At 41.5% G+C, this 23,796-nt stretch overlaps 1 pseudogene; it reads right to left on the bottom strand.

Moving 5' to 3' along the window:
• Positions 1 to 1,467: 1,467 nt before the first annotated feature.
• LOC283172 (calponin 2 pseudogene) lies at positions 1,468 to 2,704 on the bottom strand (annotated as a pseudogene).

Here is a 23,796-nt window from a genome sequence, read left to right on the forward strand (position 1 = left end):
TCATTTGGGTTTGTTGTTGTTGCTGGGTTGTAAGAGTTTTCTGTATATTCTGGGCACGAACCTCTAATCAGATATATGATTTGTAAATCTCTTCTCCCATCCCGTGGATCCCTTTTTCCACCTACTGACAGTGTTCTTCGATGCACAGAAGTTTTGAATTTTGATGTAATCCAATTTATCTGTTTTTTCTTGTAGCCTGTGCTTTTGGGGTTTTACCCTCCCCCCCACACACCAAAAAACATCATTGACAATTTCAATGCCATGCACCTCTCCCCTGTGCTTTCTTCTAAGAGTTTTATAGTTTTAGTGCCTACAGTTAGGTCTTTGAGCCATTTTGAGTTAATTTTTGTATATGGTTTAAGTTAAGGGTCAACTTTATTTCTTTGCGTATAAATATCCAGTTTTTCCAACACCATTTTTTTAAAAGGTTGTTTTTCCCCCATTGAATACTCTTGGAACCACTGTCAAAATTTATTTGACCACATATTTGAGGGATTATTTCTGGGCTGTCTATGCTTTTCCATTGGCTTATATGTCTGTCTTTTTTTTTTTTTCTTACAAACAGGTTTTATTGCTTTTGGTCCACAGTCCTTATTTCTCATTATCTAATGGTGCAGGGACCCTGGGTGGGGGTTCCCGTGTAGTATTTGGTGGAGTGTGTGGGGGGCACGGAGACAGAGCAGTATAGCTGGTCAGGCCTGGAAGGGGAAAAGAACGGCTGAGGCCCCTTAAAACCTACTGAGGAGCCATGTGCGGTGGCTCACGCCTGTCATCCCAGTACTTTGGGAGGCCGAAGCAGGCAGATCACCTGAGGTCAGGAGTTCGAGACCAGCCTGGCCAACATGGTGAAACCCCATCTCTACTAAAAATACAAAAATTAGCCAGACGCGGTGGAGCACCTGCAGTCCCAGCTACTCTACTCAGGAGACTGAAGTAGAAGAATCCCTTGAGCCCAGGAGATAGAGGTGCAGTGAGCCGAGATCACCTGACTGCACTCCAGCCTGGGCAACGACAGTAACAAAAACCTACTGAGGCCACAGTGGCGGGGGAGGGGCGGGGGCGGGGAGATTAGCATGGATGGGGGTCAGGCTTGGCCCCAACAACTCAGAATTCCACTTCCTTGTACGGGCCTCAGTTTCCCCACCAGGCCCTGAGACGGGTCTGAGGGTCTAAGATCTGTGGGTCTGAGGGTCCTAGGGAAATCCAGCCACTCAGGAGCCTGAGCTATTTAGCATGGTGGCCGGGCCCCCTCTCCCAAGGGACTCATTTTCCAGCACCTCTCCACTGTCCCCCACCCCCTATTCCTCTGGAAAAATACATATATATATATATATATTGTTGTTGTTGTTGTTTTGTAAATACTTCCTGAAACGTTTGCGGGTACAGAAACCACAAACTGATCGGCTGACAAAAGGGGAAAGAGGCGAGGCAACTGGAAACCTTCCGGGACCGGTTCCCTCCATGCCCAGGTCTCTTCTCCCCAGCACAGTTCTGCCCACAGCCTGAAGGTGCCAGCAGGGACCCTCACCCTACACGCTTTGGGATAGGGCCTTGACCTCTTCCCCCGCAGCCCGGTGGCTCAGACCTGCGAAGGAACCAAGGCAAGAGGGAGAAAAGCCCTGCCGCCTGATCCCACGCCGCCACTCACAGACCCTTCGTTGACCGGCAGCATTGAACAGGAAAAAAAAAAAAAGATGAAAACACAGAAAACCCCAAAAACCCAGACGGGGAGACGATGTGGGGAAGAGAACGTGCTGGGAGCCTCAGTAGCCAGTCTCCTCCTCGTAGTAAGCGGAATATTCAGGGGCCTCTCCAGGGCCAGGACGGTCGCCTGCACCCGAGGGAGCCCCATCGGCCACTGGGCCTTGCGGGCAGTACTTGGGGTCGTATATCTGCCGGCCCAGGCCAAAGACCTGGCCGCTCTGGTTGGCGCCCTGCGCGTAGCCCATCTGCAGGGACATGAAAGAGTTGTTACACTTGTCGGTTCCCAGCTTGGTGTCATAGATGTACCGCCGGGTCCCGGGAGCCGTCGTGCCCACCTGGCTGGCACACTTGTTTGCACCCATCTGGAGGCTGATGGTCGAGCGGTCCATGGGGGGCAATACGTGGTTCTTGGGGTCATAGAGATGCCTCCTCGTGCTGTACGCGGTCATGCGGGACTGGCTGGTGCATTTGTGGGTGCCCATCTGCAGCCCGATGACGCACTGGCGGGCATTCATGGTGGCGTCCTCAAAGTCCCACTCCTGCTTCTCCGAGTGCGTGTCACCGATGTCCGCCCCTCTCTGCGGCCCCTTAGTCTTGGCCTTCCCTGCCAGGGCGAGAAGAGACACCTGCACCTGCATCGTGTTCCCACTCTCAGACAGGTCGTTGGCCTCAAACAGGTCCACGGGGTTCATGCCGTAGGTTTTCTAGCTGGTGCCAGTTCTGCACGGAGCGGTTGATCTTGGGGTCTGAGCCCGGCTGCAGCTTGTTCATGAGTGTGCGTAAGATAATCCAATCCTTCAGGCCCTAATGGAAGTCGGGACGATGGAGAGGCCAGTGAGTCCCTCCATCCAGCTGTGGAGCTCTGCCTCCTTCTGGAGGTCATATTTGGACAGGAGCCGGTTCTTAACCTCAGCCAAGAGTCCACAGAGGGGCCTTTGTTTAACTGCATGGAGCTCATGGCTGACAGGCGCGGCGGCAGGACGGGACGGGACCGGACGGGCTGTGTACCTGTCTTTATACCAGTACCATACTGTTCTGATTACTCTAGCTTGTAAGATGTTTGAAACCCACAAGTGTGAGACCTCCATCTTTAATTCTTCATTTTCAAGATTGTTTTGGCTATTTCGGGTCTCTTGAGATTCCATATACATTTCAGGATGGATTTTTCTATTTCAGCCAAAAAAAAAAAAAATGGAATTTTGATAGAAATACACTGAAACTGTAGGTCACTGAGGAAAGTATTAATATCTTAATGATATTAAGTATTCTAATCCATGAACACATTTACATGTGTCCTCTTTAGTTTCTTTCACAACATCTTGTAGTTTTCAGTATACAAGGTGTATTAGGCCACTCTTGCATTGCTATAAAGGAATACTTGAGATTGGGTAATTTATAAACAAAAGAGATTTAATTGGTTCATGGTTCTGTAGGCTGTACAAGCATGGCTCTGGCAACTGCCCGGCTTCTGGGGAGGCCTCATGAGCTTCTACTCATGGTAAAAGGCCAAGCGGGAGCAAGCATGTCACATGGCGAGAGCAGGAGCAAGAGAGTGCGGGAGGGTGCCATGCAGTTCTTAAACAACCAGATCTCACAAACGATCATCTGCTATCACGAGAACAGCACCAAGAGGATGGTGCTAAACCATTCATGAGAAATGCACCCGCATGATCCAATCACCTCCCACCAGGCCCCACCTCCAGCACTGGGCATTACATTTCAACATGAGATTTGGCAGGGACGACTATCCAAACTGTATCACAAGGCCTTTGCCTCTTTGGGTATGTTTATTCTTAAGTATTTTTGGTGCTATTTTAGGTGGAATTATATTATTAATTTCCTTTTCTGATTATTCATTTTTAGGATATAGAAGGCAACTGATTTTACATGTTGTTTTTGTGTCCTACAACTTTGCTGAATTTGTTTACTAATTCTAACGGGTACTTTTTGTATGTGAAACCATTAGGTTTTCTACATGTGAGATCATGCCATCTGTAATCACAGATGATTTTACTTCTTTTCCAATTTGAATGCCCTTTTTCCTTGCCTACTTGCAATGGCTAGAACTTCCAGTATTACACTGGGTCTTAGTGGGAGCGGGGGTTGGTTTGTTCTGTTGTCGTTGTTGTTGTTGTTGTTGTTGTTGTTGTTTGAGACAGATTCTTGCTCTGTTGCCCAGGCTGGAGGGCAGTGGTGTGATCTCAGCTCACTGCAGCCTCCACCTCCTGAGTTCAAACCATTCTCCTGCCTCAGCCTCCTGAGTAGCTGGGATTACAGCAGTCTGCCACCACACCCAGATACTTTTTGTATATTTTGTAGAGATGGGGTTTCGCCATGTTGGCCAGGCTGGTCTAGAACTCCTGACCTCAAGTTATCTGCCTGCAGCAGCCTCCCAAAGTGCTGGGATGACAGGCATAAGCCACCGCACCAGGCCTCTAGTTTTGTATTGAATGGAAGTGACAAAAGCAAGACATCCTTGTCTTGTTCCTAACCTTAGAGGAAAAGCTTTCAGTCTTTCACCATAGAGCATGATGCTTGCTATAAGCTTTTATATATGGTCTTTATTATGTTGAGGTAGTTTTCTTCTATTACTAGTTTACTGAGTTTTTTTAATCATCAGAAGTGTTTAATTTTGTCAGATGTTTTTTCCACATCAATTGAGATGATCACGTGTTTTTATTTCCTTTATTCTACTAATGTCATGTACTACATTGATTGATTTGTGTATGTTGAAACATCTTTGCATTCTAGGAATAAATTCTACATGGTCATGGTGTATAATCTTTTTAGTATGCTGTTGAATTTGGTTTGCTATATTTTGTTGAGGATTTTTGTATCAATATTTATCAGGGACACTGGTCTCTAGATTTCTTTTCTTGTGATGTATTTGGCTGGCTTCAGTATGTTATTTTAGGGCAATGCTCATCTAAAAGAATGAGTTTGGAAGTATTCCCTCCTCTTCAACTTTTTGGAAGAGATTGAGGAGGATTGGTGTTAATTTTTTAAATGTGTGGTAGAATTCACCAGTGAAGCCATCTGGTCCTGAGATTTCCTTTGTTGGGAAGTTTTTTATTATTGACTCATTCTATTTAGTAGTTATAAGTCTGGTCAGATTTTCTATTTCTTCATGATTCAGTCTTTGTAGGTTGTATATTTCTAGGGTCCATTTCATCTAGATTATCCAATTTGTTGATATACAATTGTTCATACTATTCTCTTATAATCCTCTTTATTTTTATAAAATTGGTTATAATGTCCTCTCTTTTATTTCCAATTTTAGTTGTGTCCCCTTTCTATTTTTTCATAGTCATTCTAGCTAAAGGTTTGTCAATTTTGTCAGTCTTTTCTAAGAACTTATTATTGGTTTTGTTGATTATTATTTTCCTATTCTCTATTTTGTTTATCTCTGCCCTAATCTTTATTTATTATTTCCTTTCTTCTGCTAGCTTTATGTTTAGTTTGTTCTTCTTTTTCCAGTTCCTTAAAGTATAAATTTAGTTTGTTGATTTGGGATCTTTGTTCTTTTTAATGTAGCATTTCTAGCCATAAATTTTCCACTTAGCACTGTTTTCACTGCATCTCATAAGTTTGGGGATATGGTGTTTTCATTTTTATATGTCTCAATTATTTTCTAATTTTCCATGTGATTTCTTGTTAGCCTATTGGTGTTCAAGAATGCATTATTTAATTTCCACATATTTGTGGATTTTCCAGTTTTCCTTCTGCTATTGATTTCTTGTTTTATTTCATTGTGATCGGAGAAGATATTTTGTATGATTTCAATCTTTCTAAATGTATTAAGATTTGCTTTGTGGCCTAACATATGGTCTACCCTGGAGAGTGCTCCATGTGCACTTGGGAAAAATGTGCTTCAGCTGTTGTTCAATGGAATGTTCTTCATATGTCGAGTAGGTCCAACTGGTGTGCAGTGTTGTTCAGGACCTCTATTTCCTTATTAATCTCCTGTCAGTGTTTATGTAGATTTTTCTATTTGCTCACATATTTACTTTACCAGTACTCTTCATTTCTCTATGTGGATTTGAGTTACTATAAAGTTTCATTCCCTTCAGTCTAAAGAAATCTCTTTAATATTTTTTGTAACACAAGCATGATAGCAATACATTTTTTTCAATTGTTATTAATTTAGCAATATCTTTATGTCAACTTTTGTTTAAAGAATAGGTTTGCTGAATATAAAATTCTTGATTGACTGTTGTTGTTTTTATTGCTTTAATGGCATCAGTGTCACTTCACCACTTTCTGGCCTTCATTGTTTCTGATGGAAAGTTATTAATTGTATTATTGTTCCCTGTATGTGATAAGTCATTTTTCTCTTGTTCTTTGTGATCATTAATCTTGGCTATGCTATGGTTGCCAGTTGTTTGGTCAACTGCTAGTCTAGATGTCACTGTGAAGGTATTCTTGGATGTAATTCACATTTCCGATCAACTGACTTTAGGAAGATTACCCTCCATAATGTGGGTGGGCTTTATCCAATCAGTTAATGGTTTAACAAGAAAAAACTAAGGTTCTCCAAAGAATAATGAATTCTGTCTCAAGAATGCAACATAGAAGTTCTGCCTAGGTTTCCAACTTGATGTCCTGCTCTGCAGATTTGGACTTGCCAACCCTCATAATCACATGATCTAATTCCCTAAAATAAATATTTTACTCTCTGTATACACATGGGTAAGTTTAAGGTTGAACTTAAGTTCTGTCTTGGACAACCAGGCTCAGTAGGCTTTTCACCTCTATTGGGATAGATAGATAAGTTAATATAGATATAGGTGTAGATAAAGATGCCAACATAGATATAGATGATATAGATCACCTATTGTTTCTATTTCTCCAGAAAAGCCTCCATAATACAGATGTTTGGTGCTAAGATTGGTTCTTGAAGAACAGAATCTTAAGGGTGAGTTATCAGAGTTGGTTCTGAGGTTTCTGGAATCCGTCTTCCAGTAGTAAAAAGAGCATTGATAGTTCATGTCATGAGGTGGCAATAGAGACAGGCACAATATAAGCATTGGCTCCTCCTAACCAAACATGTATAAGCGGCAAGGTTCTGGTAACCTTGTGCAGTCATGCACTGCCTAACATTTCAGTCAGTGATGGACTGCACATACAATGATGTTCCCATAAAGTTTTTTTCTTTTCTTTTTGAGACAGGGTCTTTCTCTGTCACCCAGGCTAAAGTGCAGTGACACAATTACAGCTCACTGCAGCTTTGACCTTCTGGGCTCAAGCAATCCTCCCACCTCAGCCTGCTGGGTTGCTGAGACCACAGGCACATGCCACATGCCTGGCTAATTTTTGTTGTTGTTGGTGTTGTTGTTGAGGCAAGGTCTTGTATATTGCCCAGGCTTGTCTCAAACTCCTGGGTTTAAGTAATCCTCCTGCCTTGGCCTCCCAAAGTTCTGGGATTATAGGTGTGAACCACTGTGCTTGGCTCCCATAAGATCAAAACACTGTATCTTTACTGTACTTTGTCTATCAGACATGTTGAGATACACAAATACTTACCATTGTGTTACAGTTGCCCACAGTATTCAGTAGTCACGTGTTGTACAAGTTTGTGGCCTAGGAGCAATAAGCTGTACCATATAGCCTAGGTGTGTAATAGGCTATGCCATCTAGGTGTGTGTAAGCATGTTCTGATAATCACACAATGAAACCATCTAATGACACATTTCTCAGGACATATCCCCATCTTTAAGCAACACATGACTGTATTTGATACAATAGAACATTTTTGTCAAACTAAGGAGTATAATGACTTTGACCAGTATCTCCTAATCACACTGGACAATGTGGGGAGGAAGAAAAGATGTGCTCAAGGACTCAGATTTCCAGCTTAAGCACTGCATAAATGACCTGAAAGTTTCTATATCTGTCCTGAAAGAATCTCATATCTCCTCTAGCCACAGAGCTGAGATTGCTGAAAACCAAGCCCAGAGTCTCATCCTATGAATAGCTGAACTACAACACAAGTTGAATTCCCAACTCTGTTCATCTGATTGAGCTGCTATAACAAAATACTTTCGATTGGGAAATTTATAAGCAATAGACATGTATTTCTCACAGTTCTGGAGGCTGGCAAGTCCAAGATCAAGACACTTGTAGATTCGGTATCTAGTGAGGACTCACTCTCTGCACCACAGACCGTGCCTTGTTGCTGCATCCTCACACAATGGAAGGGCAAGTCAGCCCACTTCAACCTCTTTTATAAGGACATGCATTCCATTCATGAGGGCAGAACCCTCCTGACTTAATCGCTACCCAAAGGCCCCACCTCTTATACTATCATACTGGGGATTAAGTTCCAACATATGAATTTGGGGAAAGGAGACATCAGCATTTAGACCACAGCACCAACCTAGCAAGATGTCTGCTGTTAAAGTGAAGGCCTTGATTGGGAAGTAGTGGGATCTGAAAATTGGAATAAGACATATGGAAAGATCCTCATGAAGGTGGGAATGTTGAAACTCAAATTCTTCTGAGTCTTTCTTGCCAGTAGAAGTTCTTTCATCCTCATTGGAGGAGATTAACCCTGCTCTGCCTGAGGAACCTGTAATGGGCCTTCTGAGTCATCTACTGCCAAGTCTCCTTGGAACCCATCCCCACCACCCCTTTTTTCTTCTAGACCTATAAGTACATTCAAGTCCAGCATTCCCTAAAAGGTGAAGCACAAAGTGTGACCAACAAGGAGGTGAGCTACATTCCAAAAGAATGACATGTTTTTCAAATTTATACAGACAGAAATGTAGGGAATGTGTGGAAAGAGATATTAAGGATGAGGGAGAATGGTGGAAGGAACATAAAGTTGGGTCATGACAATTTTATGGATATGGGCCTATGAAGCAAAGGTTCTAGACATAATGCTATAGCTCAGAGATCATGAAAGAGCTCTAAACCATGTGTTTTGTTGGTTGGCTGCAACATGGAACAAAGTGTGGGGTACACTAAATGAAGCTGAAATGCCAGAGCTGCTCTTCTGTACTGTAGAACAGGAGTCCCCAACCCCTGGACTGGTCTATGGCCTGTTAGGAACCGGGTTGCACAGCAGGAGGTGAGCAGGGTGGAGGCAAGAAAGTGAGCTTTACTGCCTGAACTCCACCTCCTGTCAGATCAACAGTTACATTACATTCTCATAGGAGCATGAACCTTATTGTGAACTGTGCATGCGAGGGATCTTGGTCGCTTGCTCCTTATGAGAATCTAATGCCTGATTATCTGAGATGGGACAGTTTCATCCGGAAACCACCCCACTAACCCCCATCCATGGAAAAATTGTCTTCCATGAAACCAGACCCTGGCACCAAAAAGTTGGGGACCACTGCTGTAGAGGAAAGGGTCCAAAGGCTCAGGGATGTTAGAATGTTAATATGGGCTCATCATGTAAGACCTGCTCAGCCAGCGCTGGGTCCAGAGGACAAACCTGTCACCACACTGTGAGAAATAAATTTGCAAGAGGAGCCCCAGGATTTTTGAAGAGCTCTGTAGTCACTCTTCTCTGCAGGTCATAAATTGCAGAGAGAGCTCCTGCCACTGAATTGGGAAACCTAAATGAAATGAAGATAATTGGATCCTGGGATGGCAGGGCCAAGTGGTGACATAATCACCAAAGGCAAGGTGAGTGTGGTTAGTGGAATACAGAGCAGAGTCAAAGCAGTGATAAAAACAGTCTGGCTCACAGAGACTGTGACATTGTCTGGTTGTTCACGATGTCCCTAGTCTGCTGAACTTGCATTTGATTTGTATAAGTGGAAGACTTCTAGGCCAAGTAGACAGAAGTCTAACTTGAATCATAAAAACAGAGAGTCACAACCCCTTTGTCAATTCCCAGACTTGAACCAGTGTACAAAACAAGAACCCCTTGAATGAAGGACAGGCCAGATTCTCCTGAGGAAGGATCCCACTCCATAGCCAAAAATGCATACTGTTAATTTTTCTCCCCTGCCAACTATAGCCCTTTACTGGAGTAACAGTGCATTAGGGGAAAGAAAATAGACTTTTCAGGGATTATTGAACACTGGTGCTGAGCTGATACTAATTCTAAGAGACTCAGAAAGTCATTGTGGTAGATGAGTTAACATAGGGGTTTACAGAGGTCAGGTGATTAATGGAGTTTTACTTCAGATCTATCTCACAACAGATAAGATGGGCCCTTGAACCTATTCTATGATTATTTTTCCAGTTCCACTATGTATAATTGGAAGAGAGATACTTAGTAACTGGCAGAGTCCCCATATTGGCTTCCTGACCAGTGGAGTGAGGGCTATTATGGTAGGAAACGTCAAGTAGAAGCCCCTAGAACAGCCTCTACCTAGGAAAATAGTAAGCAAAAAACAACACTATTTAATACATTCCTGGAGGGATTGCAGAGATTAGTGCCACCACCAAGATCTTGAAGAGGAATGCAAAGGTGGCAATTCCCACCCCATCCTCATTCAACTTGCCAGGTTAGCCTATGCAGAAGGAAGGTGGGTTTTGGAGAATGACAGTAGATTCTCATAAGCTTAACCAGGTGGCGACTCCAATTACAGCTGCTGCCCCAGATGTGGTTTCATCGCTTGAGCAAATTAACACATTCCCTTGTATCTGATATGAAGAAATTGATCTGGCAAGTAATTTTTTCCTCAAAACCTGTTAGTAAAAACCATCAGAAGCAGTTCTGCCACATGGGTCATATGATCCAGCAGATTCAATGGCGCTCGAAGTGTCAGTGGCAGATAGGGATGCTGTTTGGAGCCTTTCACAGGCCTCTATGGGGGAATCACAGTGTGAATCATCAGGATTTGGGAGCAAGATTTGCCATTATCTGTAGACAACTTGTCTCCTTTTGAGAAACAGCTTTTGGCGTACTACTGGACCTTATTAAAGACTGAGTGCTTAACCATGAACTAACAATTTACCATGCAACCTAATCTGCCCATCATGACCTGGGTGTTGTCTGGCTTACCAAGCCCTTAAATTGGGTGTGCACAGCAGCACTCCATCATCAGTGAAAGTGGTATAGTTGAGATCAGGCTCAAACAGGCCTTGAAGGCCCAAAAAAGCACATGAGGAAGTGGTTCAAATGCCCATGTTCTCCACTCCAGCTCCACTGCCTTCTCTCTCCCAGTCCACATGTATTTCCTTATGGGGAGTTCCCTGTGATCAGTTGGCAGAGGAAGAGAAAACTCAGGACTGGTTTACAGATCATTCTGTACAAGTATGCAGGCCTCACCCAAAAGTGGACGCTGTGGCACCACAGCTCTTCTGTGGCACATCCCTGAAGGACAATGGTGAAGGGAAATCCTTCAAGTGGGCAGAATTTTGACCTGTGCAGCTGGTTTTTCACTTTGCTTGGGAGGAAAAATGGCCAGACATGTGATTATATACCAGTCGATGGGCGGTGGCCAATAGTGTGGTTAGATGGTCAGGGTCTTGGAAGAAATATGATTGAAAAATTGGTGACAAGGAGGTCTAGAGAAGAGGTATACAGATAGACCTCTCTGAGTGGGCAAAAGCCGTGAAGATACTTATGTCTCATGTGAATGCTCACTAAACGATGAGCTGAGCAGAGGAAGATTTTAATAATCAAATGGATAGGATGATCCACTGTATGGATTCCAGGCAATTTGTTTCCCCAGTCACCCCTATCATCATCAAATGAGCTCATGGACAAGTGGCCGGGGTGGTAGGGATTAAGGTTTTTATGCATGGGATCAGCAAAATGGACTTCCACTCACCAAGACCAACCTGGCTACAGACACAGTTGGTGCCCAATCTGCCAGCAGCCGATTGAGTCCTGATGTGGTGCCAACACTGAGTCCTGATGTGGTGCCATTCTCCTGACCACCCACCTATCTGGCAGGCTGATTACAATGGCCTACTTCCACCATGGAATGGGTAGTGTTTTGTTCTTACTGGACTAGACATTTACTCTGGATACAGATTTGCCTTCCCTGCACTCAATGCTTCTGCCAAAACTGCCATTTATGGACTCATAAAATGTCTTATCCACCATCATGGTATTCCACATAGCATTGTTTCTGATCAAGTAACTCAGTTCCTAACAAAAGAAGTGTGGCCCATTCTCATGGTGTTCACTGATATAACCATGTTCTCCACCATCCTGACACAGCTAGATTTGATAGAAAAGTGGAATGGACTTTTGAAGACTCAGTTACAGTGCCAGCTAGGTGGAAATACCTTGCAGGCATAAGGCAGCGTTCCTCAGGAAGCTGTATATTTTCTAAATCAGCATCCCAAATATGGTGCTATTTCTTTCATAGGCATGGTTCATAGGTCTAGGAATTGAGGTATGGAAATGGGAGTGGCACCATTCACTATCACCCCTAGTGACCTACCAGAAAAATTTTGCTTCCTAGCCCTATGACATTGTGCTCTGCTGGCACAGAGGCCTCTTAATTCTGGAGGGAGGAATGCATCCACCAGGAGTCACAACGATTTCCTTCAACAGAAAGTTCATGGCCACCCAACCACTTTGGGCTTCTCATGCCTCTGCATCAACAGGCAAAGGAGGGAGTTACTATACTGGCTTCAGAGACTGATCTTAATTACCAAGAAAATGCTGGATTCTACTCCACAATTGAGGTAAAGAAGAATATTATGGAATATGGGAGTTCTTTAGGATGTCCCTTAGTAGTCCTATGCCCTGTGATTAAAGCCTATGGAAAATTACAACAACCCAGTTCAGGCAAGTCTACTAATAGCCCAGACCTTTAGAAATGATGCCCAATTTATCCATTTTTCCTTGATATTATGCTTTTTTCTTATGTTGAAAGAAACTCTACCTCAAAGTCATGAAGACATCCTCTTTTTTTTCTATAATATTCATTGTTTTAGAAGCCTTTACATTTAGATCAATGATCCATGTCAAATTAACTTTGTGCATTGTGTGGTAAGGCATCCAGATTCACTGCTTGTTTTCTTTCAGATATTCATACTGACCCAGCACCATTTATTGAAAAGATTTCCTTTATTCTACTGAATTGGAGAGGTACCTTTATCAAAAACAGATGACAATGTATGTATAGTGCCATTTCTGGACTTTCTTTTCTATTCTACTGGTCTATTTTTTGCATCAATGGCAATTTTTCTTAATTTTTTCCTATTATTTGTCTTGATATTTAATAGTCTAAAGCCTCCTGCTTTTTTATTATTCTTCATGATTGTCTTGATTATTCTAGATCTTTTGCATTTATATATATGTTTAAAATCAGGTTGTCAGAAAATATTTCTGGAATTTTTATTAGTATTTTGCTGAATCTATAGCTCAATAAAGTAAAGAGAATTGACTTTTTTTAAAAGTAAATTTTCCATCCTAGAACATACTATGTCTCTCCATTTATTTAAGTCTTCAGCTTTATCAACAATATTTTATAGTTTTCCATATAGATAATTTGCATGTCCTTTATTAAATTTGTTCCTAAGTATTTGGTATTTTAGTGCTACTTTTAAGTGTGTGTGTGTGTGTGTGTGTGTGTGTGTGTTTGTGTTTGAGACAGGATCTTGCTCTGTCATCCAGGTTGGAATGCAGTGGCTAAATCATTGCTCACTGCAGCCTCGACCTCCTAGGCTCAAGCAGTCCTCCCATCTCAGCCTCCTTAGTAGCTGGGACTATAGGCACACACCACCACATCTGGCTTTTTATTGTGTAGAGATGGGTTTTACTATGTTGACCAGGCTGGTTTCTAACTCCTGGCCTCCAGCAGTCCTCTCTCCTCGACCTTCCAAAGTGTTGGGATTACAGGCATGAGCCACCATGACTGGTCATATTTATTTCATTCTGTTCTATTTTAGTTGTTTGTTGGTAGTAAATAGAATTTGTTATATTGTCCCTGTGTTCAGCAACCTTATGAATTTCACTTATAGTAATTTTCTATAGATTATTTGGGATTTTCTACATACATAATCATGTCATGTGTAAATAATGATAATTTTTCTTTCTATTCAATTATTATAGTGTTTCTTTCTTGTTCTTGCCCTATTGCATTGGCTAGTACTATCAGTAAAATGTTGAATAAACGTGATGAAAACAAGTTTTGTCTTATTTCTAATCTTAGAGGAAAAGTGTTCATAATTTCACCATTAAATATGATGCCATTAAACATATTTAATTTCACCATTATATATAGCATTTTGGTAGATTTCCTTCATCGAATTAAATAGGATTCCTTCTATTCTGAGTTTGCTGAGACTTTTTGTCATGAGTGTTAAGATTTATCCATTTTTTCTGCATCTGTTGAGATGATCATACGGTTTTTCTTTTGTTCTATTATTATAGTGCATTATATTCATGGATTTTCAAATGCTAAACCAACGTTACATTTCTGTGACAAATCCCAGTTATTCAGGAGATAAATCCAGTCATCCCTCAGTGGAGGATTAGATTCAGGGATGCCTGTGGATACCAAAATCCACAGACTGAATTCCCTTCTATAAATCGTGTACTACTTGCATATAACCTGTGCACATCCTCCCATATATTGTGTAATCTCTAGATTATTTATAATACCTAATAAAATGTAAATGCTGTGTAATCTTTGTTATACTCTATTGTTTAGGGAATAATGACAAGAAAGGTCTGTGCATGTTCAGCACAGACACAACCATCCATTTTTTTCTGAATATATTTGATCTGCAGTTGGTTGACTTCATGAATGCAGAACCCACAGATACAGAGGGTCGTGTGTGTGTGTGTGTGTGTGTACACAAAGCTATGTAATAAATGACATTGCAGCTTCTATCTTGCTTTTTCAGATTTCTTGATTTTAGGAAACTTGATGACTTTAATCCAAGTAGTCCTGTGGTGAGGTGCACATGGAGAGTAACTGAGGCCTCCCACCTAGAAAGTCAATGGTAGCTTGATGAGAATAGCATTGAATCTACAAATTACTTTGTGCATTATGGCCATTTTAACGATATTGATTCTTCCTACCCATGAGCATGGAATGTTCTTCCATTTGTTTATGTCCTCTCTTATTTCCTTAGCAGTGGTTTGTAGTTCTCCTTGAAGAGGTCCTTCACATCCCTTGTAAGTTGTATTCCTAGGTATTTTTTTCTCTTTGTACCAATTGTGAATGGGAGTTCACTCATGATTTGGCTCTCTGTTTGTCTTTTATTAGTATATAGGAATGCTTGTGATTTTTGCACATTGATTTTGTATCCTGAGACTTTGCTGAAGTTGCTTATCAGCTTAAGGAGTTTTGGGGCTGAGACGATGGGGTTTTCTAAATATACAATCAAGTCATCTGCAAACAGAGACAATTTGACTTCCTGACTTCCTATTTGAATACGCTTTACTTCTTTCTCTTGCCTGATTGCCCTGGCCAGAACCTCCAACACTATGTTGAATAGGAGTGGTGAGAGAGGGCATCCTTGTCTTGGGCTGGTTTTCAAAGGGAATGCTTCCAGCTTTTGCCCATTCAGTATGATATTGGCTGTGGGTTTGTCATAAATAGCTCTTATTATTTTGATATATGTTCCATCAATACCTAGTTTATTAAGTGTTTTTAGCGTGAAGGGGTGTTGAATTTTATTGAAGGCCTTTTCTGCATCTATTGAGATAATCATGTGGTTTTGTCATTGGTTCTGTTTATGTGATGGGTTACGTTTATAGATATGCGTATGTTGAACCAGCCTTGCATCCCAGGGATGAATCCGACTTGATTGTGGTGGATAAGCTTTCTGATGTGTTCCTGGATTCAGTTTGCCAGTATTTTATTGAGGATTTTTGCATCAATGTTCATCAGGAATATTGGCCTGAAATTTTCTTTTCTTGTTGCGTCACTGCCAGGTTTTGGTGTCAGGATGATGCTGGCCTTGTAAAATGAGTTAGGGAGGAGTCCCTCTTTTTCTATTGTTTGGAATAGTTTCAGAAGGAATGGTACCAGCTCATCTTTATGCCTCTGGTAGAATTCGTCTGTGAGTCCACCTGGTCCTGGGCTTTTTTTGGTTGATAGGCTATTAATTACTGTTTCAATTTCAGAACTTGTTATTTGTCTATTCAGGGATTCAACTTCTTCCTGGTTTAGTTTTGGAAGGGTGTATGTATCCAGGAATTTATCCATTTCTTCTAGATTTTCTAACTTACTTGCATATAGGTGTTTATAGTATTCTGTGATGGTAGCTTGTATTTCTATGGGATCAGTGGTGATATTCCCTTTACCATTTTTTGTTGTGTCTCTTTGATTCTTCTCTCTTTTCTTCTTTATTGGTCTAGCTAGACGTCTATTATGTTCATCTTTTCAAATAACCAGATCCTGGGTTCATTGATTTTTTAGGGTTTTTTGTGTCTTTATCTCCTTCAGTTCTGCTCTGATCTTAGTTATTCCTTGTCTTCTGCTAGCTTTTGAATTTGTTTGCTCTTGCTTCTCTAGTTCTTTTATTTTATTTTTATTATTATTATTATTATTATTATTATACTTTAAGTTTTAGGATACATGTGCACAATGTTCAGGTTAGTTACATATGTATACATGTGCCATGCTGTTGTGCTGCACCCATTAACTCATCATTTAGCATTAGGTATATCTCCTAATGCTATCCCTCACCCCTCCAACCACCCTACAACAGTCCCCAGAGTGTGATGTTCCCCTTCCTGTGTCCATGTGTTCTCATTGTTCAATTCCCATCTATGAGTGAGAACATGTGGTGTTTGGGTTTTTTGTCCTTGTGATAGTTTACTGAGAATGATGATTTCCAGTTTCATCCATGTACCTACAAAGGACATGAACTCATCATTTTTTATGGCTGCATAGTATTCCATGGTATATATGTGCCACATTTTCTTAATCCAGTCTATCATCGTTGGACATTTGGGTTGGTTCCAAGTCTTTGCTATTGTGAATAGTGCCACAATAAACATACGTGTACATGTGTCTTTATAGCAGCATGATTTATAGTCCTTTGGGTATATACCCAGTAATGGAATGGCTGGGTCAAATGGTATTTCTAGTTCTAGATCCCTGAGGAATCGCCACACTGACTTCCACAATGGTTGAACTAGTTTACAATCCCACCAACGGTGTAAAAGTGTTCCTATTTCTCCACAGCCTCTCCAGCATCTGTTGTTTCCTGACTTTTTAATGATCGCCATTCTAACTGGTGTGAGATGGTATCTCATTGTTGTTTTGATTTGCATTTCTCTGATGGCCAGTGATGATGCGCATTTTTTCATGTGTTTTTTGGCTGCATAAATGTCTTATTTTGAGAAGTGTCTGTTCATATCCTTTGCCCACTTTTTGATGGGGTTGTTTGTTTTTTTCTTGTAAATTTGTTTGAGTTCATTGTAGATTCTGGATATTAGCCCTTTGTCAGATGAGTAGGTTGCAAAAATTTTCTCCCATTCTGTAGGTTGCCTGTTCACTCTGATGGTAGTTTCTTTTGCTGTGCAGAAGCTCTTTAGTTTAATTAGATCCCATTTGTCAATTTTGGCTTTTGTTGCCATTGCTTTTGGTGTTTTAGACATGAAGTCCTTGCCCATGCCTATGTCCTGAATGGTAATGCCTAGGTTTTCTTCTAGGGTTTTTATGGTTTTAGGTCTAACGTTTAAGTCTTTAATCCATCTTGAATTAATTTTTGTATAAGGTGTAAGGAAGGGATCCAGTTTCAGCTCTCTACATATGGCTAGCCAGTTTTCCCAGCACCATTTCTTAAATAGGGAATCCTTTCCCCATTTCTTGTTTTTCTCAGGTTTGTCAAAGATCAGATAGTTGTAGATATGCGGCATTATTTCTGAGGGCTCTGTTCTGTTCCATTGATCTATATCTCTGTTTCGGTACCAGTACCATGCTGTTTTGGTTACTGCAGCCTTGTAGTATAGTTTGAAGTCAGGTAGCATGATGCCTCCAGTTTTGTTCTTTTGGCTTAGGATTGACTTGGCGATGAGGGCTCTTTTTTGGTTCCATATGAACTTTAAAGTAGTTTTTTCCAATTCTGTGAAGAAAGTCATTGGTAGCTTGATGGGGATGGCATTGAATCTATAAATTACCTTGGGCAGTATGGCCATTTTCACGATATTGATTATTCCTACCCATGAGCATGGAATGTTCTTCCATTTGTTTGTATCCTCTTTTATTTCATTCAGCAGTGGTTTGTAGTTCTCCTTGAAGAGGTCCTTCACGTCCCTTGTAAGTTGGATTCCTACGTATTTTATTCCCTTTGAAGCAATTGTGAATGGGAGTTCACTCATGATTTGGCTCTCTGTTTGTCTGTTATTGGTGTATAAGAATGCTTGTGATTTCTGTACATTGATTTTGTATCCTGAGACTTTGCTGAAGTTGCTTATCAGCTTTAGGAGATTTTGGGCTGAGACAATGGGGTTTTCTAGATATACAATCATGTCGTCTGCAAACAGGGACTATTTGACTTCCTCTTTTCCTGATTGAATACCCTTTATTTCCTTCTCCTGCCTAATTGCCCTGGCCAGAACTTCCAACACTCTGTTGAATAGGAGTGGTGAGAGAGGGCATCCCTGTCTTGTGCCAGTTTTCAAAGGGAATGCTTCCAGTTTTTGCCCATTCAGTATGATATTGGCTGTGGGTTTGTCATAGATAGCTCTTATTATTTTGAGATACATCCCATCAATACCTAATTTGTTGAGAGTTTCTAGCATGAAGGGTTGTTGAATTTTGTCAAAGGCCTTTTCTGCATCTATTGAGATAATCATGTGATTTTTGTCTTTGGTTCTGTTTATATGCTGGATTACATTTATTGATTTGCGTGTATTGAACCAGCCTTGCATCCCAGGGATGAAGCCCACTTGATCATGGTGGATAAGCTTTTTGATGTGCTGCTGGATTCGGTTTGCCAGTATTTTATTGACGATTTTTGCATCAATGTTCATCAAGGATATTGGTCTAAAATTCTCTTTTTTGGTTGTGGCTCTGCCCGGCTTTGGTATCAGGATGATGCTGGCCTCATAAAATGAGTTAGGGAGGATTCCCTCTTTTTCTATTGATTAGAATAGTTTCAGAAGGAATGGTACCAGTTCCTCCTTGTACCTCTGGTAGAATTCGGCTGTGAATCCATCTGGTCCTGGACTCCTTTTGGTTGGTAAGCTATTGATTATTGCCACAATTTCAGATCCTGTTATTGGTCTATTCAGAGATTCAACTTCTTCCTGGTTTAGTCTTGGGAGAGTGTATGTGTCGAGGTATTTATCCATTTCTTCTAGATTTTCTAGTTTATTTGCGTAGAGGTGTTCGTAGTATTCTCTGATGGTAGTTTGTATTTCTGTGAAATCGGTGGTGATATCCCCTTTATCATTTTTTATTGCGTCTATTTGATTCTTCTCTCTTTTTTTCTTTATTAGTCTTGCTAGCAGTCTATCCATTTTGTTGATCCTTTCAAAAAACCAGCTCCTGGATTCATTAATTTTTTGAAGGGTTTTTTTGGTCTCTATTTCCTTCAGTTCTGCTCTGATTTTAGTTATTTCTTGCCTTCTGCTAGCTTTTGAATGTGTTTGCTCTTGCTTTTCTAGTTCTTTTAATTGTGATGTTAGGGTGTCAATTTTGGATCTTTCCTGCTTTCTCTTGTGGGCATTTAGTGCTATAAATTTCCCTCTACACACTGCTTTGAATGTGTCCCAGAGATTCTGGTATGTTGTGTCTTTGTTCTCGTTGGTTTCAAAGAACATAAGTTCTTTTAATTGAGCTGTTAGGGTGTTGATTTCAGATCTTTCCCACTTTCTGATGTGGGCATTTAATGCTATAAATTTCCCTCTAAACACTGCTTTAGCTGTGTCCCAGAGATTCTGGTACATTCTATCTTTGTTCTCATTGGTTTCAAAGAACTTATTTATTTCTGCCTTAATTTTGTTATTTACCCAGTAGACATTCAGAAGCAGGTTGTTCAGTTTCCATGTAGTTATACAGTTTTGAGTGAGTTTCTTAATCCTGAGTTCTAATTTGATTGCACTGTGGTCTGAGAGACTGTTTGTTAAGATTTCCGTTCTTTTGCATTTGCTGAGGAGTGCTTTATTTCCAATTTTGTGGTCAATTTTAGAATAAGTACAATGTGGTGCTGAGAAGAATGTATATTCTGTTGATTTGGGTTGGAGAGTTCTGTAGATGTCTATTAGGTCTGCTTGGTCCAGAGCTGAGTTCAAGTCTTGAATATCCTTGTTAATTTTCTGTCTCATTGATCTGTCTAATATTGACAGTGGGGTGTTAAAGTCTCCAACTATTATTGTGTAGGAGTCTAAGTCTCTTTGTAGGTCTCTAAGAACTTGCTTTATGAATCTGGGTGCTCCTGTATTGGGTGCATATATATTTAGGATAGTTAGCTCTTCTTGTTGTATTGATCCCTTTACCATTATATAATGCCCTTATTTGTCTTTTTTTATCTTTGTTGGTTTAAAGTCTTTTATCAGAGACTAGGGTTGCAACCCCTGCTTTCTTTGCTTTCCATTTGCTTGGTAAATATTCCTCCATCCCTTTATTTTAAGCCTGTGTGTCTTTGCACATGAGATGGGCCTCCTGAATACAGCACACTGATGGGTCTTGACTCTTTATCCAATTTGCCAGTCTGTGTCTTTTAATTGAGGCATTTAGCCCATTTACATTTAAAGTTAATATTGTTACGTGTGAATTTGATCCTATCATCATGACGCTAGCTGGTTATTTTGCACATTAGTTGATGCAGTTTCTTCATAGCATTGGTCTTTATATTTTGGTATGTTTTTGCAGTGGTTGGTACCAGTTTTTCCTTTCCATATTTAGTGTTTCCTTCAGGAGCTCTTGTAAGGCAGGCCTGGTGGTGACAAAATCCCTCAGCATTTGTTTGTCAGTAAAGGATTTTATTTCCCCTTCGTTTATGAAGCTTAGTTTGGCTGGATACAAAATTCTGAGTTGAAAATTCTTTTCTTTAAGAATGTTGAATATTGGCCCCTACTCTCTTCTGGCTTGTAAGGTTTCTGCAGAGAGATCCACTGCTAGTCTGATGGGCTTCCCTTTGTAGATAACCTGATCTTTCCCTCTGGCTGCCCTTAACATTTTTTCCTTCATCTCAACCTTGGTGAATCTGACAATTGTGTGGCTTGGGGTTGCTCTTCTCAAGGAGTATCTTAGTGGTGTTCTCTGTATTTCCTGAATTTGAATGTTGGCCTGTCTCTAGGTTGAGGAAGTTCTCCTGGGTAATATCCTGAAGTGTGTTTTCCAACTTGGTTCCATTCTCCCCCTTACTTTCAGGTATACCAATCAATCGTAGGTTTGGTTTTTTCACATAGTTCCATATTTCTTGGAGGCTTTGTTCATTCCTTTTCATTCTTTTTTCTCTAATCTTGTCTTCACACTTTATTTCATTAAGTTGATCTTCAATCTCTGATATTCTTTCTTCCACTTGGTTGATTTGGCTATTGATTCTTGTATATGCTTCACAAAGTTCTTATGCTGTGTTTTTCAGCTCCATCAGGTCATTTATGTTCTGCTCTAAACTGGTTATTCTAGTTAGCAGCTCCTGTAACCTTTTTTCAAGGTTCTTAGCTTCCTTACATTGGGTTAGAACATGCTCCTTTAGCTCAGAGGAGTTTGTTATTACTCACCTTCTGAAGCCTACTTCTGTCAATTCATCAAACTCATTCTCCATCCAGTTTTGTTCCCTTGCTGGTGAGGAGTTGTGATCCTTTGGAGAAGAAGAGGAATTCTGGTTTTGGGGGTTTTTCAGCATTTTTGTGCTGGTTTTTCCACATCTTTGTGGATTTATCTACCTTTGGTTTTTGATGTTGGTGACCTTTGGATGGGGTTTTTGCATGGGTGTCCTTTTTGTTGATACTGATGTTATTGCTTTCTGTTTGTTAGTTCTCCTTCTAACAGGCCTCTCTTCTGCAGGTCTGCTGGAGTTTGCCGGAGGTCCACTTCAGACCCTGTTTGCCTAGATATCACCAGCGGAGGCTACAGAACAGCAAAGATTGCTGCCTGCTCCTTCCTCTGGAAGCTTCGTCCAGAGAGACACCCACCAGATGCCAGCTGGAGCTCTCCTGTATGAGGTGTCTGTTGACCCCTGCTGGGAGGTGTCTCCCAGTCAGGAAGCATGGGGAGGCAGTCTGTCCCTTAGCAGAGCTGGAGTGCTGTGCTGGGAGATCTGCTGGTCTGTTCAGAGCTGGCAGGCAGGAATCTTTAAGTGTGCTGAAGCTGCGCCCACAGGCTTACCTTCCCACAAGTGCTCTGTTCTAGGGAGATAGGAGTTTTATCTATAAGCCCCTGCTGGGGTGGCTGCATTTCTTTCAGAGATGCCCTGCCCAGAGAGGAGGAATCTAGAGAGGCAGTCTGGCTACAGTGGCTTTGTCACACTGTGGTGGGTTCTACCCAGTTCATATTTCCCAGTGGCTTTGTTTACACTGTGAGGGGAAAACCACCTACTCACGCCTCAGTAATGGTGGAGGCTTCTCCCCCCACCAAGCTGGAGTGTCCCAGGTCAACTTCAGACTGCTGTACTGGCAGCGAGAATTTCAAGCCAGTGGATCTTAGCTTTCTGGCCTCCATGGGGGTGGGACCTACTGAGCAAGACCACTTGGTTCCCTGGCTTCAGCCCCCTTTCCAGGGGAGTGAATGGTTCTGTATCACTGGGGGTTCCAGGCACCACTGTGATACAAAAAAAAAAAAAAATCCTCCTGCAGCTAGCTCAGTGTCTGCCCAAACGGCCACCCAGTTTTGTGCTTGAAACCCAGGGCCCTGGTGGTGTAGGCACCCGAGGGAATCTCCTGGTCTTCAGGTTGCAAAAACCATGGGAAAAGCATAGTATCTGGGCCAGATACCACTGTCCCTCACTGCACAGTCCCTCATGGCTTCCCTTGGCTAGAGGAGGGAGTTCCCCAGCCCCTTGTGTTTCCCAGGTGAGGCAATGCCCCACCCTGCTTCTGCTTGCCCTCTGTGGGCTACAACCACTGTCTAATCAGTCCTAATGAGATGAACCAGGTACCTCAGTTGGAAATGCAGAAATCACCTGCCTTCTGCATTGGTCTCACTAGGAGCTGCAGACCAGAACTGTTCCTAATTGGCCATCTTGCCCCCTCTCAAATTTTACTGATTTTATGAAGTCAAATTTATTAATTTTTTTTACTTTGCATCTGGATTTTAAGTCATTGTGAAAAAATTTTTTTCCCACACCCCAAATTATGTAAGAATTTATTCATGCTTTCTTCTAGTACTTACATGGGTACAATTTTTACACTTAAGTCTTCAATCATTTGAGAATTTAATAAAAATATCAGTTTACCCTGTACATCAGTTATTGATTGCCTCAATAATGTTGTATTAAAAATTAACTATAAAATGCCAGTGGCATGTAACAATAAGTGTTTAGTACTCATAAAAGCTTGATATCATAAACACTTGGAAACATGGGATTCCACCTCAGGCATCAGCTGGGTGTCAGCTAGATGTCTCTCCTGATCTTGACAGGGCTCGCCCACAAATCTGAGGATCAGCTGACCAACACTGGCTTCTCATATAGGCTGGTTCCAATTGGAGCAATTAGAGCAATATGGCTCTGCTCTCCCAGCAGGCTACCATGGGCATGTTCTCATGGCAATGGCACAAGCGCAACAGGGCAAGCTCCAAAGCATGGCCTTATTTCAAGCCTTTGCTTGTATAACATCTGCTGACACCCCACTGATCAAGCCTGATCAAGCCCAGAGTAGAGAGGGGGGACACTAGAAAGCTGTATGGCAAGGACTTTGAATACGGGAAGGGGTAAAGAACTGAGGGCATCTTTGCAATATGCTACATCCTGCAGTCTCCTAGATCTAGCTCATCCTAGATTTCTCCCTATCATCTCAGGCTTCTTGAGAGGGTCTTTATCATTCACTGTCTTCCTTGTGAGTCAGTCCATTGCAATTTGGCTTCCTCTCCTGATTATTCTACTACACTTGTTTTCAAAAAGTTGCCAGTGGGCTCTAAACTGCCAGTCCAACATGCATTTTTTGGGTTCTTATATTATGTGACAGAACATGTTATTTGAGCATCAACCTGTCATACATTCTGTAAGCAGATCACACTTGTGCCAGGTATCCTCAGTCTCTCAATATCCACTCTCTAGCCCTCCCTCCCTGTTCTCTTCCACTATCTGGACCACATCAGT

This window comes from Homo sapiens, chromosome 11 (genome assembly GCF_000001405.40).
Source record: "Homo sapiens chromosome 11, GRCh38.p14 Primary Assembly".
Lineage (NCBI taxonomy): Eukaryota > Metazoa > Chordata > Mammalia > Primates > Hominidae > Homo > Homo sapiens.